This window comes from Homo sapiens, chromosome 17 (genome assembly GCF_000001405.40).
Source record: "Homo sapiens chromosome 17, GRCh38.p14 Primary Assembly".
NCBI lineage: Eukaryota > Metazoa > Chordata > Mammalia > Primates > Hominidae > Homo > Homo sapiens.
The window spans coordinates 55,060,318-55,081,188 of NC_000017.11; the positions used below are offsets into that span (position 1 = coordinate 55,060,318).

Genomic DNA, 20,871 nt, shown 5'->3' on the forward strand with positions numbered 1-20,871 from the left:
ATTTTTCCAAAGATTGATTTCTTTTTTCACAATAAATGAGTCTTTAAAAATTATAAATACAGAGTATGTATAACTCTTCTCTTAAAAATTTTTAAAAACTAGAAATTTAAATGGTGTGAAATTTGGCAGTTTCTTTCCTTTGATATCCTTTTGAAGATCTTGACACCAAGTTACTACAGTACTAATGATCATCCCATGTAAATTCCTTAAGCACATAGATAACCTAATTATTAAAACAAGCTGTGAAGGGCTCATTTTTCACTGGAAGGATCACCTTCATTGTTTTATTCAATCAAGGATAGCTACCAGAATACCTACTCACTGTTTTGAAAAGAATTGGCTGTACTGTTCTCTAAAACTCAAGTATTTTTATGAGTTTTTGTGTCTTACAGAATAACCGAGCTTAAGTTTAAAATCATGAGCACAATTTCCCATGAAATTGTTGTTATTTTTTCTTCAAGTTCTAACAACTTTTCACAGGCATGGGCCACTCTTAGCGACTTCCTTTGATCAACAGCTTTCTAAAGCCTACTCTCACACTTAAGTTGTTTTTAAAGTTTCTTTCAGCATAGTATTATGACCTAAGGCAGCAATGAATTGGTGAACAGTCCAAAGCCAAAATATTTAGCTTGTCTGAACCAGTCTTTGCCCTAAAGAAACATGGGATATTAAGCATTTGGCAAATTCTCTGGGTTCAGATAAGCCCACTTGTAGTTGGCCTCACCTGTGTAAAGGTTGAGTTCAGTTCTTGAGAAGAGCATGAAGTCCTGAGGCAGAAATATAAGGTCAAATCAACACAGGATTCTCTGTGGACAATTGAGGTTGAACATGAATCAAGTAACAGCTAGTGCAGCTGACATGTGAGCTATCTTAGTTTTCAGATGAAGCAACAAAGGAAACCAAGAACAAATTAAATGTGTCTTTAAAAGGAACAACAATAATAAGTGATTCCTAAAGTACTTTTCACATTTTCACACTTTTAAAGATTGTGTTTCTTGTGTATTCATTTAAAAAGCAGCAAAGCCTCTAATTTTCAGAATTGATGTGATTTCTCTTATTTTTCTTTAGTGATTAAATTTTTACTAGTTTTTCAGTATAGCACTAGTAGGTGTTTTAAGATGCTATCTCATCTTCAGAGGGAAAAAGAAGAAAAATACATATATTTGTCAGTCTTTTCTGTTCTAAAAGCATGCTGTAGTAAAATGTTCCTGTTTCCATTTCAGATAGTCACTGTGGCCTCAGAATGCCAGCTTTTATTTTCTACCAAAAACCCTCTTTACTCAGATCCCTCATGCTATTCTTTTATTGCCACAGCCACATCCTACCTGCTCCCCTAACACCTGGCAAACACTAATCTGTTCTATATCTCCATAATGTTGTCATTTCAAGAATATTGTATAAATGGAATCATACAGTATGTCATCTTTTGGGATTGGTTCTTTTTACTCAGCAATAATTCCCTTGGGATTCGTCTAGATTCTTGTGTGTATCTGTAGGTTGTTCCTTCTTATTGATGAGTGCATTTAAAACTGGTTAAATCTAAATAAAGTTGTGGGTTGTATCCATGTCAGTTTCCTAGTTGTGATAGTCTATTACAGTCATGCAAGATGAAACTACTGGGGGAGGTTGGATAAAGAGTGCATTCTCCTATACATGCCTGTAATCCCAGCACTTTAGGAGGCCAAAGTGGGAGGATTGCTTCAGACCAAGAGGTCAAAATCAGCCTGGGCAACCAATCATGACTCCATCTCTACAATTATCTTAAAAGGCTTTTTTTTTTTTAAATATATATTTTAAGTTCTGGGATACATGTGCAGAACGTGCAGGTTCGTTACATAGGTATACACGTGCCATGGTGGTTTGCTGCACCCATCAATCCATCATCTACATTAGGTATTTCTCCTAATGCTATCCCTCCTCTCACCCCTGACCCCCTGACAGGCCCCAGTGTGTGATGATCCCCTTTCTGTGTCCATGTGTTCTCATTGTTCAACTCCCACTTTTGAGTAAGAACATGCAGTGTTTGGTTTTCTGTTCCTGTGTTAGTTTGCTGAGAATGATAATTTCCAGCTTCATCCATGTCCCTTCAAAGGACATGCACTCATCCTTTTTTTATGGCTGCATAGTATTACCTGGTGTATATTTGCCGCATTTTCTTTATCCAGTCTATCATTGATGGGCATTTGGGTTGATTCCAAGTCTTTGCTATTGTGAATAGTGCTACAATAAACATATGTGTGCATGTGTGTGTGTGTCTTTATAGTAGAATGATTTATAATCCTTTAGGTATATAACCAGTAATGAGATTGCTGGGTCAAATGGTATTTCTGGTTCTAGATCCTTGAGAAATCTCCACACTGTCTTCCACAGTGGTTGAACTAATTTACACTCCCACCAACAGTGTAAAAGTGTTCCTGTTTCTCCACATCCTCTCCAGCATCTGTTGTTTCCTGACTTTTTAATGATCGCCATTCTAACTGGCGTGAGATGCTATCTCATTGTGGTTTTGATTTGCATTTCTCTAATGACCAATGATGATGAGCTTTGATTGGTGTACCTGGAAGTTGGAAAAGGCTTTTTTAAAAGATTTTTAAAAATCTCTTTGAGAAAAGAAGTTATAAAGCTCTTATAGTGATAGACAGCAATCTGGTTGAAGAAACTTATTAAACAAACTTAGTTGGATTTTTTTTACATTAATTCCTTTTTTGTGATTCAGAAAGTGACTCCTGTATTCTCCACCATTAAACTATGACCAAGAAACAGCAGTGAGCTTGGAGAAGGAACACCAGCACATAGCTTTTGGACAGCCCAGCTGGCATTCCTGTTTGCGCAGACACCAACCATACCTAGTGATTCATTAGAGGTGAATGTAGCCTTCTAAGCAAGCATTGGCAAACAAAGGTGTCTATTTCAAAATTATCATTTCCAAATAGTTGTTTGTCTTTTTAATTGTAGAAAAGATCTTACCATGTTAATGATTCTAAGAGAAATTTTATTATCCTATTTATAATATAGAACTCAATTTAGAATCACAGAATTTTCAATGTTGGAAGAATCTGCAATTCTTCATAGGAACCTTCCAGTTCATTTGATTATTACCTATAGTAGGTTGGCCTAGTTAGAACTGATGCTGTTAAAGTTCTAGGTTCCATACTATGAGCCACTTATTTTCTGGCTATTTAGGGACCACATGTCATACTTTGGCATCAGTTGTACTATAAGCTCTATAGTAACTTATAAGGGAGACCTGGTAAGAGAATTTAAGAAACATTTCTAAATGCGTGCTTTATATGGAGTCATTGTGAATGCTAAACATACAGTTCTACAAGGAGCTCTCAATCTAGTAAGCAAAAATAAAAATAGAGCAAAATCGTCACTTTCTAGAAAGCATTTCATAATAGGTGCCCTGTGGCTGGTGAGTTGTTAGAGGCATATCTATATAGGAAAGTAGGCATTACTCCCCATAATTTTCTTTGCTTTACTAAAAACAAATACACATCACTAAAATTCCATTATTCAGTTGCTAAGAGAACATCTTTAAGGGTATATTTTAAACATCTACTTAGAAGCTGAACATTTTGCATTTCTTAATGTTAGAGCAATATAAATTAATTTGGCTGACAAACTAGTAAATTTTACCCAAGGAGGAAGTAGTGATAAGGCAGTTAATACTATAAAACTCTTATCTTGACAGTTTACTATGTGAGAAACACTTTCTGTCCCTTACTTCAGTATGGGACTCATGACATTGTGTTAAATGATTTATTCACAAGCTATTTTAGGGTTAAAAACAAGACTTCTCTAGTCATGCCTAATCCCACATAAATAAATCACTATTTGAAAATATTGCTTTGATTAACCGTCATCCATGTTAGATATCAAAGATTGTCTGTAACCATGGATTTGAAATTAAACTGTGAACTTCATCACAGTTCTTCAGTATTGAAGGCAGCTGATTTCCTGATGTGGTTGCTAGTGGTATTCTGCTACCCCTGCCACATGCCCTTTATCTTGTCTGTGTCCCCTTCCCACCACTGCTTTTTCCTCTTTCCTCCTCTCATATTCTTAATCACTGTTTTTCCCCTTTCACTACTGTAATTATAAGATCTCTTTACACTGTAGTTATTAACCCTATTTCTACCAATTCTGGGGCATATTTCCCTCTGTCTACAAATTGCCTTTCTAATGTTTGTTTGAGATGGAGTCTTGCTCTGTCGCCCAGACTGGAGTGCAGTGGCACAATCTCGGCTACTGCAACCTCCAGCTCCCGGGTTCAAGCGATTCTACTGCCTCCGCCTCCTGAGTAGCTGGGATTGCAGGCACGCCACCCGCCACCCGCCACCATGCCCGGCTAATTTTTGTACTTTTAGTAGAGACAGGGTTTCACCATGTTGGTCAGGCTGGTCTCGAACTCGTGACCTTGCGATCCACCCACCTCCGCCTCCCAAAGTGCCGGGATTACAGTCTAATTTTTTTTGAAGTTTTTAAACATAAATGTTTTTGTGTTGTCAAACCTTTGTCTTTATGATTTTTCGTTTTTTATAACTTTATTTAAGTTCATTCCTAGTCATATTTCAGATATATATTTACCTAGATCCCTGTAATATCTTTCTTTAATTCATCTAAGAAATTATTTTGTTAGATATATGGTATGAGATGAGGGTCTACACTTTACACTGTTTTTCCAAATAGTTGTCGCAACCACTTTTATTTTGTGTTATCATCATTATCATAGATTAAATTCTTACATAATATAGGGTCTGTATGGGGCTATCTGGTCTTTCTAGTTGCTTTTTCAATCAATATTTATTAGGTAAATGACTGTTTTATCTAACTCCTCTTTGGCCAGTACCAACTATTGCTGCTTTATGAAAGCCTTAAATTCTTGGGCCATGTTTCCTCTTGTTTCTTTATTTCTTGTTGTTTCAAAATTTGCTTACCAGTTTTCACTGATTTATTCATCGACATCAACTTAAGAATCTTTTTATTTAGCTCTTGTTATGTCTCGCTTTGAATTTAGAATTCTTGGTCAAATTCCTCCAAAACAAAATTTGATGAAATTTTGATTCCAATTTAATTAAATCTCTAAAGGTTAATGTGGAAGGAATATATTTCTGTTTTAAAGACAGATCTCCCTTAAGTCCCAAATTTCAGATGAATTCTAATGTTTAACACCCCGGAAGTTGCTTTTGAATTGTACCATTTTTCAATGAAAAGAGTTTAATCTGCAATTATGAAAGGAAGTTTCCAATACTATAAATTTTCCCTTTTGTGTAACCAGAATTGGAGAATTAGGAAAGTAGCTTTTTTTTTTTCTATGTCAGTCTTCATTAAACCAGAAAATACATGTTCAAGGTTAAATATATTTTTCAAAGAGGATTGTAACTAATATTTATATTGTGAACAAGTTTCATATGATAAAATTTATCAATTAGATGTATTTTTATATCTGTCCTTGATTAGGGACTTCTGTTTATAAAGGAGATTGAAAATTGTTTCTTTGATTTTCTTTGATGCTTAGAAGCAGAAATCAATTTTGCACCTTTTGGAGAGTAAGGCAGCTGCAGGTAAAAAAAGTTGAAAGCTCTTGGGAGGGTTAATTAGAGCTAATTATAATCTGATTGACCTGTTTTTCTTCCAAAAGCTTAACCAATCTTTCTTTGCAAAATGAGCATGGATTTTACTTTATCATACAAACTAAAGAAAATCTTTGTTTCTTGAAGTTCTAGATATCCATCATTATTACACACTTTATAAATGAGTGTTGCTACCTAAACTGTGGAATCAAGGATTAGGTAAGGTTGAAAAAGACCTTCAAGATTATTTAGTCTTAGAGAACATGCACTGTATTTCTCATGATGGAAAATTGTGGGTTTTGTTGTTTTGTTTTGTTTTGTTTTGTTTTGTTTTGTTTTGTTTTGTTTGAGACAGAGTCTCGCTGTGTCACCCAGGCTAGAGTGCAGTGGTGTGATCTCAACTCAGTGCAACCTCCACCTCTCAAATTCAAGAGATTCTTCTGCCTCAGCCTCCCAAGTAGCCGGGGTTACAGGGTCCTGCCACCATACCCATCTGATTTTTGTATTTTTAGTAGACATGAGGTTTCACCATATTAGCTATGCTGATCTCAAATTCCTGACCTCAGGTGATCCACCTGCCTTGGCCTTTCAAAGTGCTAGGATTACAGATGTAAGCCACTGTGCCTGGCCAAAAATTGTAATTTTTAAGGAAATATAAATTAATGTTCATAATTTTAAAATCTTATATTTTTAATGAAAACAAGAAATAAAATTGACAAACAAGTATAATTGTCATTTTTAGCATTGGTATTTTCTTCATTCCACTTAGTCTTATTTGCTTGATAAATACTGTAAAAAAGATTTTTTAAAATTTATATAAAAAGAATATAATGCAGCCTGGCATGGTGGCTCACACCTGTAATCCCATCACTTTCGGAGGCCGAGGTGGGTGGATGTCTTTAGATCACCTTGAACCTGGGAGGCGGAGGTTGCGGTGAATCAAGATCATGCCACTCCACTCCAGCCTAGGCAACACAGTGAGACTCTAAAAAAGTAATATAATGAAATAATTTGCCTATTATTATATGGTGTTTCTCAAAGCATAGTTTATGATTGTTATTTTAATTGTTAAATAAAATGTAGTTCTAATATTCCCATAAATCTGAACCCTTTTTTGAAGAAATTTCCTATGAAAGCTTCTTGCCTAAATAAGTTCCTTAAGGCAGTTTTTGTATATGAAAAATGAAATAGTCATTTTCATGGTTTGTCAACTCAGTTATATCTCATTTTATGTTAAGTAGAGTACCTGCTCATATTAGATAGGGTTTTTACTCTCAGACAGATTGTGTTCTAATTTGGGCAGTCAAGACCCTTTGATTTTAGAAAGTTGGGTAATAAAGCATTTTAATGACAGTTCAAGATAGCAGTTAAGAGTACTAAATATGTGATTAATTACAGACGACAAATCTAAAAGATAAAAAAGGAGAGAAAGATCATTTATACAAAAGTAGAATGGAAAAACAGATAAGGTGAAATCTGAGATAGATTTTGAAGGACAAGTAACAACTAAATGATGGAAAAAGGTGAAAAATATATATACCTAGAGGATTAATGTGACCCAAAGTGTCTTGGAAGTAGAAGAATTTCACCTGGTAAATGTGGTAAGTTAATGTACTTGGATATGGGAATCATGTGAGAGTTAAGTGGACTAAAGCTAGTAAGTAGGTTGATTTGGAATAGGTAGTAGAGAACTTTGAAGAATGAAGAATGAGGATATATTTTATCATGTACCATGTTGTTAGGTTTGTTACCTAAGGTGGTACTTCATCAATATTTTGAGGAAATCAATCTTTCAGAAGTATGCAGAATACAATAAAGAACACAGTAGGCAGGGTGATCACATATGTGATTTTCATAGTACCCAAGCATGAGAGGATAAAGACATAAATCAGTAATACAGTGGTTAGAATGGAAATTAAGCAACAGCTGCAAATTACATTATAAATGAAGACTTCACAGTGCTTAATTACTGGTTAGGTAAGGAGGAGGAGGAGTTGGCTAGATGAGTCATGGAGGGGGAGTGAGGAAAGAGAAAAGAAAGCATATGTCAGAGGTCTGTTAAAAAGTTCTACGAATCATATTCTCCCCCATACACATTCATGCCTGAGGGGTGAGTTATACCTTCATTTGTCAATATCTGCAAAGCATTTTGGGATTATCCATTGAAAGGTATATTATATATATTTTAACAAATCAGACTCATAAGTCAAGGAAACTAGATATAACTTGCTTTTAAACATTTTAATTCAATAGCTCTTTTCCTGCAGTAACCCTTAATTTTTTTCACAAGCTGTAATAGTACCAAGACCAAGAAGGGCTTTCCAAAGAGTGGATGTAGGAAGCTGATAAGAGAAGTATTCTTTAGGGCTTGGTAGCATAGGTTACATTGCACAAAAACATTATATCTCTTTGCAGTCTCATTTTTCTCCTGTCACCTATTGACATTTTGAAAGATTTACTGATGAACTTAAAAATTGCAGAACTTTTAAATTTAGTGATGTGAATGTGTTAGCCTAATTACAGATGTGCTACTGCAATTAATGCTTTTTCCTTCTACTATAGGGAGCCATTCATTACAACTCATAACTAGAGGAAAGGGCTTTACATGATTGTTGCTAACATTAAAAAATACATGTGCAAATTTTGTTTCCAAACAACTCTCCAAAGTTCAAGAGCTGGTGTTACTAATTGAGTGCCTCAGGAAAACCCTTAATAAATTATTTTGTCTAGCTCTTTGATCACACAGGTGATTATGTATATTTTTTCAAGGTAAGAAAGAGGAAAAGGAAAAAATTGTGCCAAGAACTATTATAGTTTCTTTAATTCTCTTGTGAGAATAGTTTTGATCTAATAAAATAGGTGTGATTTTCCATTATAAAAATGAGCAAACTGAGTCTTAGAGAATTACAGAGCCAGAAAATTTTTAAAAGTGTAAAATTCTGATCTGAGATTCTAACCTAGTTATGTCCCATTCAAAGCCCATGTTTTTTCATTCTAGATCATGTTACCTTGTGGGGGAAAAGTACTGTATGTGGAAAAACACATAGTATATTTATTGTCCTGTGTGTGAGCTGTTACCGTGCTTTGTCCCAACAAAAGTCCAAAGTATTGGTAGCCTACAAAGATTTTCATTAGTTCAGATTACATTTTCAAAGAAGACTTTGGTCTGCTCTTTGAAGTTTCATTATGTAATCGTGAGGCAGAAAAACCTCATTTTATAAAGGGCCAGTGTGAGTTGAAGACATTTCCTCAGTGTTGCCAAAAAAAAAAAAAAAAAAATAAGCTAGAGATTTTACTTCTTAATTCAGGATTCCCTTCTAGTATGTTTGCTCACACTGCTTAGTATTAAAAAGCATAATGCTTATGTGGATTTTCTGACTTACTACTATATCTTCATTTTTCTTTTATTATCTAACCTTCTAAACTGAATTAAACTCTATCTAGTACATAGTAAATCAGTAAATGGACGACAGCATTTTCCCTGATGGGATTTCAGTCTCATGGTGAGGCACTGGGAAAATTCTGGCTCAGTTGTTACTGACATAGGAGGCTGTACAGTTATTTATTAGAAGACAGCCTGGGAGGAAAAGAGAAAATGGATTTATGTGATCTTGTATTGCTAAATACGGCACACTGCTGTTATCTTTTCTTTACTGCTTCCTCTAAAAGTCATCATTTCAATGCACTAATCTTTTAAACAGCCATTCAGTGGTAACTGGGCTAGAACTTTGCTAAGGGGTCACATTCACCAACCTGACAGTTACACATTTACAAAAGAAATAGCATGAATTTATTCAGCATCAAAACCTCTGCATCTTTTACCACCCAACTACATTTCACACTGTATTACCATCAGTGCACAATAATGGCTATATAAATTCCATCCAGAGTCTTCATTTAATTAACTAGCATTCTTTGAACAAAAATAAAAGTGCTGTTTTTATAGAGGAATAAAAGCTGCATGAAGTGAGTGTGAAGAAGACAAATCATCAAATTAGTTATTCTTCATTGCAGCTATGGAGAATTTCCTGCCCTTTCTCTTTAGAGTCTTTTTTTTTTTAGATTGATTGAATGAAAAATGGAGAGTGAAGCAGCCTCAAATATACCTATTGTAATGACCACATCATAAGCTCATCCAGGACTGGGCACTGATAATATTGTCATCTAAAAGTGATTTTTTAAAAACATTTTCTGTAGTTGGCAAGGTAGTACAGCATAGTAGCCAAGAACATGAACTTTATAACTAGACTGCCAAATCTTAGCTCTGTCACTTACTAGGTTTGTGATTCTGAGTTAGTTACTTAACTTTCCTGTGCATCAATGTCCTGTCTATAAAATGCAGATAATAATAGACATATCCATGGCAGTGTGTGGATTAACTGAGTTGATGGATGTAAAACATTGAGAATAGTGCTGGCACATAGTTAGCCATTATCTCCTGTATGCACAGCAGCAGTCTAGTGTGAAGTTGATCTAGCTGTGTCACTAGAGACTCTCTTGATCATCTGAATGAAATTGACTGGTGTGGTAGGCTAGGTTAATGTACCTACCTTTTCCAGATATTTCTTTCTAAAAGTATTCTTTTATTATAAAACAATTACTTTTAGATACAAGGAAATAAAGTCCTTTGAGTCAAGGGCATAGAAGGCAATTGGTTGGCCACATCTCTCCATCTGGCACCCTGCTGCCAGATTTAGCTTTCTAAAGCACTGTTTTCTCATATCATTTTCTGCTCAGAAGCCTTCAAGTCTTCTTCAGACTCAAGCTCCTTCCCCTTCATGCCTGCCATTTCTACCAGAGCCTGACTCCCTCCCTTTCCACGACCTTTTTTTATCCATTACTCCCCTATAGCAAGTCTCTACTCCAATCATAATTGATCTAGTATTGTTTCACAGTGTGCCACATTTCTTCTTGTCTCTCTTCCTTTATTCACATGGTTCTCTTTTTGTAACATCCTCTTTTCTTCATCCATTTATCTAAGTCATACCTGATGTTCTAAGTTGAGACAGAAAAGGAGAGGTTATCTTTTACCCCTTTGTATTTTTGTCATAAACATGGTTGCTAGATGCAGTGGCTGCTAAATAAATGCTATTGATGAACTACTCTGTTGGCTTTACCTTCAAACTGTATTTAGAATCTAACTGCTTCACACCAACTCCACCACTATCACCCTTATTGAAGCTACAGTTAATTTTTGCCCATCTCCTTTTTCTTCTCCCTGCTTCCACCCTTGCCCACCATCTACAGTCTATTCTCAACACAGCAGCAAAAGTAACACTTTTAAAATTTAAGTCAGATCACATCGATTCTCTGCCCAAAACCCTCCAATCATTTCCCATCTTACCCTGAGTAAAACCAAAGTCCTTGCAACGGCCTACAAATTCTCTTAGCCTCTGCCACTTCACTCTACCTCCATCCCTATATTCACTCTTGTTACCATTCTGCCCTCATGTCTTACTACTCCCGTCTTCCTGGACCCTACTACTCCTACCTCTACTACACTGGCTTCCTTGCTGTTCTCTGAAAGACACAAATCACAGCTCCATCTCAGGGCCTTCATGCAAACTGTTCGCTCTTCCTAGAAAGCTCCTCCTTGGGAAATCCTAACTCCATTCCTCCTGCAGGTCTCTGGTCAGTTATCTTTTCAATGAGACATTTACCTCTCATCCCTGATTTACTGTCTATCTCCCCAAACTTAGAATGTAAATTCCAAGGAGCAAGAGGGAAGGCTTTTTGTCTATATTGTTTAGTGTCTACCCCCAGTACCTGAAACAGAACCTGACACATAATAAATACTTAATAAATCATTATTGAATGTATGAATGAAAAACTGACCCTTAAGAATATGCCAGCATTCCTAACCCTCCCAGCACTTCAAATGTATTTAGGCTCAAACAAAAGCAAATGTCCCTTAACAGCTCTGAAAAAATTAAAATAGCCATAGTTTAATATTAGCCATGGCAATTGGAGCAGAAAGTTCTATCGCAGAGAAAAGAGATTTCTGCATCAAGTAAAGAAAAAGGAATGGTTTACAGTATAAGAAGTGCCATATTAAATTATATTGGTGTCCTGGGGGACTGTCTTTGACCCAGTACCAAGGTACATTTTTTTCCCTCCAAGTACATTTTGATAGAGCAAGTGGTTTTGGCTACCCTTTCCTCTTCCTAAGGTGGAAGGTATACCTGTATGGGGTTTTTTTGTTTTTTCATTTAGAGGCAGAGTAAAACAGTAGAAAGACAGCATTAATGTTGCAGTCAGGCAGACCTAGTTTCAGATTCTGGCACTGCTGTGTGTTCTTGAACAGGTCATATAACTTCTCTGAGTCTGTTTGCTTATGTATGAAATGTTTTTTAGTAATGTCTTTCTCTCAATATTGTTTTAAAGATTAAGTGAGAAAAGACACGTGATGCACCTGAGACATAACATGTGTTTAATAAATGTCTTGTGAGCCTTGCATTCAACAACACGATTATGTACTTTGCTACTAAATGCTACCTTTTGGCTTAAACCAAAAGGGAGAAGTAGTAGATAGATTGACGTCCATGAGATAACTTTAGCCCCTGGAGCTTGGTCCATGGAGAAGCCCCATAACACTACTACAAATCTCTCAGCAGCATCTGATGACCCTACAAGAGCCTTTTTAGAACATGAGTCCTACTACCTACTTGAGTTTTGTTGTAGCCTACTCTTTTTATCTTTTGAGCCCTTTCTTATTCTTCTGTTTTCCATTTTCAACTATCTTCTACTTCCTTTATTTTCAAAATGTTATGCTAGGTATATGAAGTCAAGAGATTCCATGCTGAAATCAACAAAGGAAAAAGTAAGATCAGGCAACTACCTCACATAATAAAATAACATAACTATTAATTTTCAAATTGATAAATAAATAATATATGTATATTGACTTTTTGGAATTATAACTTCCAGAGCAAGGAAAATATTTTGTATAAACCTCGGAACTATTTCTTATGTATTTTTTAAATGACATTAATTTTGAAATCTTTAGGAAGCCAAAGCTGTAGTTGAAGAAACAAGAGCCCTGCGTAGTCGGATTCATCTTGCTGAAGCTGCTCAGAGACAGGCACATGGAATGGAAATGGACTATGAAGAAGTGATCCGTCTGTTAGAGGCCAAGATTACAGAGCTAAAGGCTCAGCTTGCTGATTATTCTGACCAAAATAAAGTAAGCAAAGCAGTCATCTCTTCCAGTTACCATGGTTTCCTTGCCGTTGTCATGTATCCTGTTTTCATTTTCTTTTCATCTGCACTTCTAAACTAGGTCAGTGTTTGTCTTCTATTATTCAATGATAGGATGCTGTGTCCTGATGGGGATAATGTAAAGGTCTTGAGCCTTCCTTTATCCAGATGGCTTTGGGATGGAAAAGCATGTGCCCCAAATTTATTTAGGTCATTGGTCAAAATTGTTCAGTTCAGGTATTAAGTCCTGGAACTCTTTAACATTTAATTGATTACATTGGTTTTTTTCTTTTGTTTCTAAACCTGCTAATTTGTTTTATGGGAATGGGAGCAGGGGAGTCTAGGAATGGGTTTGCTCTTTGATTAGAGCATTCAAGGAAGTATTAAAGTGAAGGAATGTTTGCCTAAGGCCTAGATAATTAATGGGAAGAAACTGAGTTTGAATTTTTTTTAATGTGAGGTGTACTAAAGTAGTTTCCAATAGATGATTTTCCAGTTTCAATAGCAAAATACTGAATGCTTTTCAGAAGGCAGTGCGAACTTTTTGTTGTTGTTGACACAGAGTTTCACTCTTGTCGCCCAGGCTGGAGTGCAATGGCATGATCTCAGCTCACTGCAACCTCCGCCTCCCAGGTTCAAGTGATTCTCCTGCCTCAGCCTCCCAAGTAGCTGCGGTTACAGACACCTGCCACCACACCCAGCTAATTTTTTGTATTTTTGTAGAGACAGGGTTTCACCATCTTGGCCAGGCTGGTCTTGACCTCCTGACCTCAGGTGATCCACCAGTCTCGGCCTTCCAAAGTGCTGGGATTACAGGCATGAGCCACCACGCCTGGACAGTGCAAACTTTTTTATGCAATTTTTTTTTACATAATACATACTATATTCAGTGAAGAGGCTTCAAAAATCTATAATAGTCATATATTTTTACTTCACTGAATTAAGGTAGAAAATCGAGTAAATTGAAATAAATATTCATACATTTGTTCACTTACAAACATAACTGGTTATGTATATCTCTAATCCAATCAGTTTCTAAGAGAACATAAAGAAAATCTGAATAATTTATGACTATTTAAACATTAAAAAGTTAAATACTTTAAATATAGCATGTGAAAATGAAACTAGTGTTACAAATGCAAAATACCAAAGAAAATTTGAAATCTGTTAAAAGTCACTAAACTATTTCTCACATTATTCACTTAAACCAATTCCACAAGAAGGCTGAAGTTCCCATCACCCTTTGATAATACCACAAGGCGAAGAGGAAAACATATAGTTTACAAATCAGCAATATTTAGGAATATTACATATTTGTTATTTGTGACCTGGTTTTTACATTCTGAAAGTAGATATGTGATAATGTTATGTAACTTTAGCCTGAGTATGAAAATATTTTGAGATTTATCACAATATCAAAAGTACTATTTATTATGGTTACTTTTGAAGTGAAAAATCAAGAGTGTTTAATATTTTATTTTTAAATGATATAACTTTCAAGAAAGTTCACATGAAATTATTCCTTGTTTTTTGTTTCTTTTTTAAGCTTGGGTTATTTGTAATCTCTCTTCCAGCTCTTAACTGAGAAACATTTTTGTCCTAAGTTGCCTGGTAATATAATTAATTCAGTTTTTCTCTCTTTTATCATAATCGGGTTCTCATGCCATTTCTCTTAACAAGACTCTAAGCCAGTAACCTGTCTCTGAAAACAGTCTTTAAAGAGTCTCTTTAAAGAGCTATTAATATGAGCATCTCAACATTCAACATTTTCTAAACCCAATATCAGTGGAAAAAAAGAAGGAAACCTTTTTTTTTTAATCATGAGATTGCTTAAAGAGACATTGACCAAGATGTTACAGAATTAAAATTCAAGTGTCTATTTGTAAGATAACAGATTCTTTTTGTAACAGTACATTTATTTTTCATTATAATTTTTTCTTTATGTTATTTATTTATTTATTTACCTTTTGGAGTTTTTATTCACCTTCAACATAAGAAATAAAACATTACTAGTACCTTTGAAGACCCACAGTGTTTCTCTCCAATTGCATCTCCCACCCTTTCCCTCAGAGATAATCACTTTCTTGGATTTATTCTTAACCATTTTCTTGAAAACTTTACTACTTGTGTATATATTCCTTAACAATATGTTGTTTAGTTTTACCTGTTTATCAACTTTATATAAATAGAAATATACTCTATGTATCATTCTGACCTGCTTTTCTTCACTCGACATTTTGTTTTTGCATTTCATCTATTTGAAGTTTTTAGCTAGTTCGTGTCTTCTTATTGTTTCTTGTACTCTATTGTGTGGATATACTACGTGTAATTATCCATTCTGCATTTGATGGACAGTCCAATTGTTTCTGTTCTCTTCTGTTATAAATGGTGCTAAAAACATTTTAGTGCATGTATCCTGCTCCACATGTGTAATAGTTACCTGCTAGGAGTAGAATTGCTAAGTTGAATAATTGTAAGTTTGGCTTTACTAGGTAATGCCTACTTGTGCTTGAAAGTGTTTGAACTAATTTGTACTCCCACCAGTAATGAATAAGAATTATTGTTTACCCCGCATACTTGCTGACCCTTTGTTTTATTTTAATTTTATTAATCTGGTAGTTGTAATAAGTGTTACATCATTACAGTTTAATTTGAATTTCCCTGGTTACTAATGGCTTTGAGACAGTGATGTGCTGGGACCAACTGACACTAGCTCATGAGAGCTGATTGCATGCATCTCTTCTCAACTCAATGTACAGTGATATCAGGTTGGTAGCTTGAAATCAGCTATAATGGGGTTATTTCTACCCATAAATGTTATAAACCAAGGTTTCCTCCTCCCTGGTAGCCAGTTGAGCATATATTTATCTCTTTATTAGGCATTTGTGTTTCTCTGTGAAATGCTTCTTCATATCTTTTGACCCTTTTTCAGTGGATTAGTTGTCTTTTTCATGTAGATGTATAGTGATTCTTCTGGTTACTAATCCTTTGTTAAATTACATGTTATAAAAATCTTCTTCCAAATTTCTGGCTTGCCTTTTCACTCTATGGTAAAATGGACACAAATCCAGTCATCCCTCCTGACTTAATTTCCATTTTTGTCAGTATTTTAGTTCTTTCTTTACTTTTAAGACCACAAATTAGACATTGATTATTTGTTTTGTGTGGTCAGCATTTGCTTAATAGACTCCATTTTTACCATTTTCTGTTAAGCATTCTTACATCTCAGACCTTCTCACTTGGTTTCTTTCTTCATGAGTACATATTTTAGAAATTCATGTAGTGAGGATCTGATGATAATAAGCTCTCCCCATTTTATTTGTCTGAAGAACATCTTTATTCAACTCTTGTTCTTGAAATATATTTTTGCTACATTTAAAATGTTAAGTTGGCATTTAATATCTTTCACTGTTTTTATTTCGTGTTTGTGATGTCAGCTGTCAATCTGTCATTTGTTTGCAATCTGTTTCCTTCTATATGATTTTAAGATATCTTTGGCTTCAATGTTCAGCAGTTTGACTATGATGAATCATGTGTGAACTTACTTTAGTGTGTACTATTTGGGATTCATTGAGCTTCCCGATTCGAAGAGCAATGTCTTCTGCCATTTCTGGAAATCACTAAGCTATTATCCTGAGCGATTTCTCTTTCATTCTTTGTATTTGTTCTTGTGTAATTCAGATTGGATGTGTGCTATAGCTTCTTCTGGCTGTTTTCTCTTTACCTTTTCTCCCCATTTGTATTTCAATTTTTGTCTTTCTGTTCCATTATGAGAAGTTTCTTTACCTCTGTTGTCAAGTTCACCCATTCTCTTTATAATTGTATCTAACTGGATGTCAAATCTATAAATAAAGTTTCTAATTTAGTTATGTTACATTTTTATTTTTGAGATGTATTTTTTATGTTATCTGGATCTATTTCAATAGTTTCTTGTGTATTATACTTTCAATTCCCTCTTATTTTTAAAAACATATTAAACATAATTGCCTTATATTTTGTATCTGCTCACTTAAATATCTGCTGTCTTTATAGATCTGATACTGTACTTTATTTCCTTCAGTTAGCTTTCATTCATAGAGCTTATTTTCTCATATGTTTAGTGATTTTTGTTTGTGTCTGTGAGATCATGTTCTATCAATGCATTATAAGTGGGAATTCTTTGAGCTCTGAGTTTTAGAAATATCTCTCCAGAGTTTTGAGTTTGCTTCTGCTAGCCTGGGACCAATTTAAAGTAAAATTTCAGCATATGGCTTTTTAGGCCACACAGATAATGTAAATTCTGGCCCCAAACCTGTGTGAATGGGGACTTTTGGTTAGGAATTATTCAGGAGAAACTTTTTTACTCAAGTCACCTGAGCCAACATCAAAACACTGTTTACCTCTGTGAAGTTTACTTCTTCCCAGTTCACCCATTGAGTTTCTTCTGTTTTCCATTTGTGACTGTTGAAACCCCAAACTGTAGGCCACCAGGGATCAGCATATACCCTCCGAACAAATAATGCTTCAGTGCTCTCTTACCCCAGTGGGCTCACTTGGCATCGCTGTTGCATGTCTCCATGGAATTCCTTTACTTCCTTGCTAGCTTTGTCTTACATCGTGTGTGTGTGTGTGTGTGTGTGTGTGTGTGTGTGTGTGTGTGTATCCAGCATTTTTAGTTATGTTAAATTAGTAGAGGTTTCTGTCAGCATCTGGTAAGACACATTGCAAAAACAAAACAAAACAAAACCATAAACTAATTTAAATGTATTTTACTATAAGAATCAATAAACTCATATACAACTTATCTCATAAAACTTGCAGTATCTCTGTGCAAATTAACTTTTAAATATGCAGTTAGTTACATGCCCCCCAAAATCAAAACATATGTACAGTAAGAGAAAAAGATAATTTGGTAATATTGAATATTAGTTCATAAAAACTGAAAATAGGGACCAGTAATGTAAAACTGAAGAAATGTGTAAATGCTCCTTTTGATATCTCTGTGCAGGAAAGTGTTCAGGATTTAAAAAAGAGAATCATGGTACTCGACTGCCAATTACGAAAATCAGAAATGGCTCGAAAAACTTTTGAGGCATCCACTGAAAAGCTTCTTCATTTTGTAGAGGTAAGTTTTTCTGTTCTATTACATTCATCTTTAAAAAATATATAGGCAACTGGCATATAGATAAATGTTACTGTATTTGGTACCTAGTGAAACATTCTCTAGTCTCAAAGCAGCAATGCTGGCTTATGGTCAGATTTAGAACTGCATACATGATGAAAAGACTGGCTAACATTTTATAGATTGTTTAGAGAAATAATTGAGACAAGGTGATGGGATTCCAAGTATATACTATTTTAATGAATACTTTACCAAAAATCCTGATAATGCATAAACATTATTTGATAACTACTTACCTTATAAAGAAATGTTTTCATAGCTGTTATATTTCTGAGTAAAACTGCATGTTAGTTCAATTGTTTGCACCCCCGCTACATAATAGAAGCATCAGTTTAATCCGTGGACAGAGGAGGTTATAAATATTAATGAAGAAAAGATATTTTTTAAAAACTGTCAAACTGATATATCTCCTTCACCATCTTGTTTGTTGCTAGGCTATTCAAGAAGTATTTTCTGATAATTCTACTCCTTTATCAAATTTAAGGTAAGAAAATTTAAGTGCTTTTTGCAGAATATGGGTAGTGATTAAATTCTTCATCTGGTCATTGTGACTCAAATACTAAAAATCTCTTAAATAGTCCTAAGGTGCTACATAACTCCCATTGGATGCCATCATATGGAAATAGATGCAAGGACATATTGTTTTGTGTCCCATCTCTGTTAAAGAAATTCCTGGAGGTATTTAGTCAATCATTGTAACCTTGTAATCTAAAATTATGGTAGAAACCACCTATCCTGTCTTTATCAAAAATTCTATAAAGATGAGATTAACTTAAAATTCTGTAATTGTCTTGCGTATGAATCAAAGTTACTGGTCACAGGTTCACTACTAAAAGTGTCTCAACCCAGCAGGTTAGTTGTTCTGGCAAACAGAATTTTGGAAAACATATTCATGCAATCATTTTCTTTCGTTTTCATCTTTCAGTAGCTATAAATAAAAGAAATATATTTGGAGAATATACCTCGATTGTCTCATTATTCATAATATGTTTTGGATTTAAAGTTTCTTACTAGAAGCTGGAAACATACTAATCAAATTTATTTATTTCAAACCACAAGTTTATGGTCATTTTGATACATGATGAAAGACATTTACAAAAGAAAGATTCTTGTTTATGCATTTCCAAAGTAATTTTTTTCTGCTCTCATAATAGCTGCCACTAGTCCTAGATACATCTTCTACTTCTAGCAATATACGCTTGCAGAAACAGGAAGACTCAATGAGGTTGGGTGTGATGGTGCATACCTGTAATCCCAGTATTTTGGGAGGCTGAGGCAGGGGGATCACTTGAGCCCAGGAGTTTGAGACAAGGAACATAGTGGCACACAGTGGGACCCTATCTCTACAAAAAAAAAAAAAAAAAGAAATAGCCAGATGGGATGGTGCATTCCTATATTCCCAGCTACTTGGGAGGTTGAGGCAGGAGGATTGCTGGAGCCCAGGAGCTCTAGGAGATTGAGGCTGCAATGAGCTGTGATCATACCACTGCCCTCCAGCCTGGATAACATAGTGATGCCCTGTCTCAAAAAGTAAATAAATACTCTACCCTTTACTGTGAAAACAGCAGCTTAATAAGTGAAGATATTTTTGGTGTCCACATAGCATTTTTTAATTTAGAAGAATATTTATAATTCACTTCTAAACTCAAGTAATGTTTTACTTCTTATGATGAAGGAACCTGACATAACTTCTTACTCTCCTTGCTGCTTATGATACAAGAAAACTCTGTGAATTTCATGATTATTACTCTCAGTAAGGATCTTAAAATAATCAGTAATCACATTTATTTCTTTATGGGCTAAGTGTGTCACCCACCCTCAGCTTTCCAAGGTCTTAGTTTTACCTTGACTAATAATTCAAAAGTTTTGTTTTAAAAATTAAGGTTAAAATGACTATTTAAAAGCCAGAGCCTGCCCTTGCCTTAAACTGCTTCATGGAAAAAAAGACAACTTTAAATAGCTACATCACGCAACATTTCATGGTGTCTTAGTAAATTAAACACTAGTAAAAACTGGTGCAGTCATTTCAATATAGCATATCCTCTACATGGATATTGGCCCTGGTCATTCAACACAGAATAAAGGCTATGTATTTGAATTTGAGAACTGATGCTTTTGTTACCCTTTGTGAATTAATATCATTATGCTTAGGAAGATGGAGTATAAATAATGATGATTTTGTCATCAGTTTAAATTTTTTTTTCAAGTAAGTTTTAGTGTAATTTTTTGAAGAAAACATTTAATTTTTAATTAGATCAGAATGCATTCATTTTAGGTGACATTTGCATTTTTTGAAAGTGATACAAATGCTCTAGGCTGTTTTTGATTCGAGGCAAAAAATGGAATAATTTAAGAGATAATTTCAGGAGCCAAATACATATATTGAATTTATATTTAATATTACTAGAAGTAATAATAAATGTATTTTAACAAATTCATGTTTATATGCTTAATTTGAATTTATACAGAACTAAATAAAATTATATCATGTTAGCAAAAGAGAAGCACTCACAAAATAAGCCCAACAAATGATTTAGGAGACAGGTCATCCTTCTATTACTTCTTTATCATACATGAAGTCAACCTAATTTTAAAATATTTCTACTTATTATGTCGTAAATAATTGAAAACAGAAATATTGTTTTATGTGAATTACTTCAATTTTGGTTATATGAAATAATTTCCTCAGAAATATAAATATTTTTGTACAAATCTATAACTGATACAACTTCAGATTTAGTAAAGATAGATGTTGTTTATTGTGTAGTAAGTTCAACTTTATTTTATTGCCTTCATAGTGAAAGAAGAGCTGTGTTAGCTTCTCAGACTTCCCTCACACCACTGGGAAGGAATGGACGTAGCATCCCAGCAACGCTGGCGCTTGAATCTAAGGAACTTGTTAAATCTGTTCGTGCCTTACTTGATATGGATTGTAAG

General features: G+C 34.6%; 1 protein-coding gene across 12 annotated transcripts in view, besides 1 other annotated feature; it reads left to right on the forward strand.

Moving 5' to 3' along the window:
• Positions 1-20,871, forward strand: part of STXBP4 (syntaxin binding protein 4) — a 244,509-nt gene that overhangs the window by 91,553 nt on the left and 132,085 nt on the right. For all 12 annotated transcript variants that reach the window (XR_007065289.1, XM_047435714.1, XM_017024410.2 and 9 more), the window contains 4 exons: positions 12,583-12,759; positions 17,761-17,877; positions 18,369-18,418; positions 20,733-20,866. Coding sequence is in view for 11 of the 12 variants with exons in the window: in XM_047435714.1 (XP_047291670.1) it covers positions 12,583-12,759; positions 17,761-17,877; positions 18,369-18,418; positions 20,733-20,866 (478 nt within the window). In the remaining variant the exon portion in view is untranslated. The remainder of the gene's footprint in view (positions 1-12,582; positions 12,760-17,760; positions 17,878-18,368; positions 18,419-20,732; positions 20,867-20,871) is intronic.
• Positions 12,038-12,238: a silencer, noted in NCBI's record as "peak2901 fragment used in MPRA reporter construct". NCBI's record gives its function as "represses an SCP1 promoter by STARR-seq MPRAs in K562 erythroleukemia cells {active_cell/tissue: K562}" and the evidence as "EXISTENCE:reporter gene assay evidence [ECO:0000049][PMID:32103011]".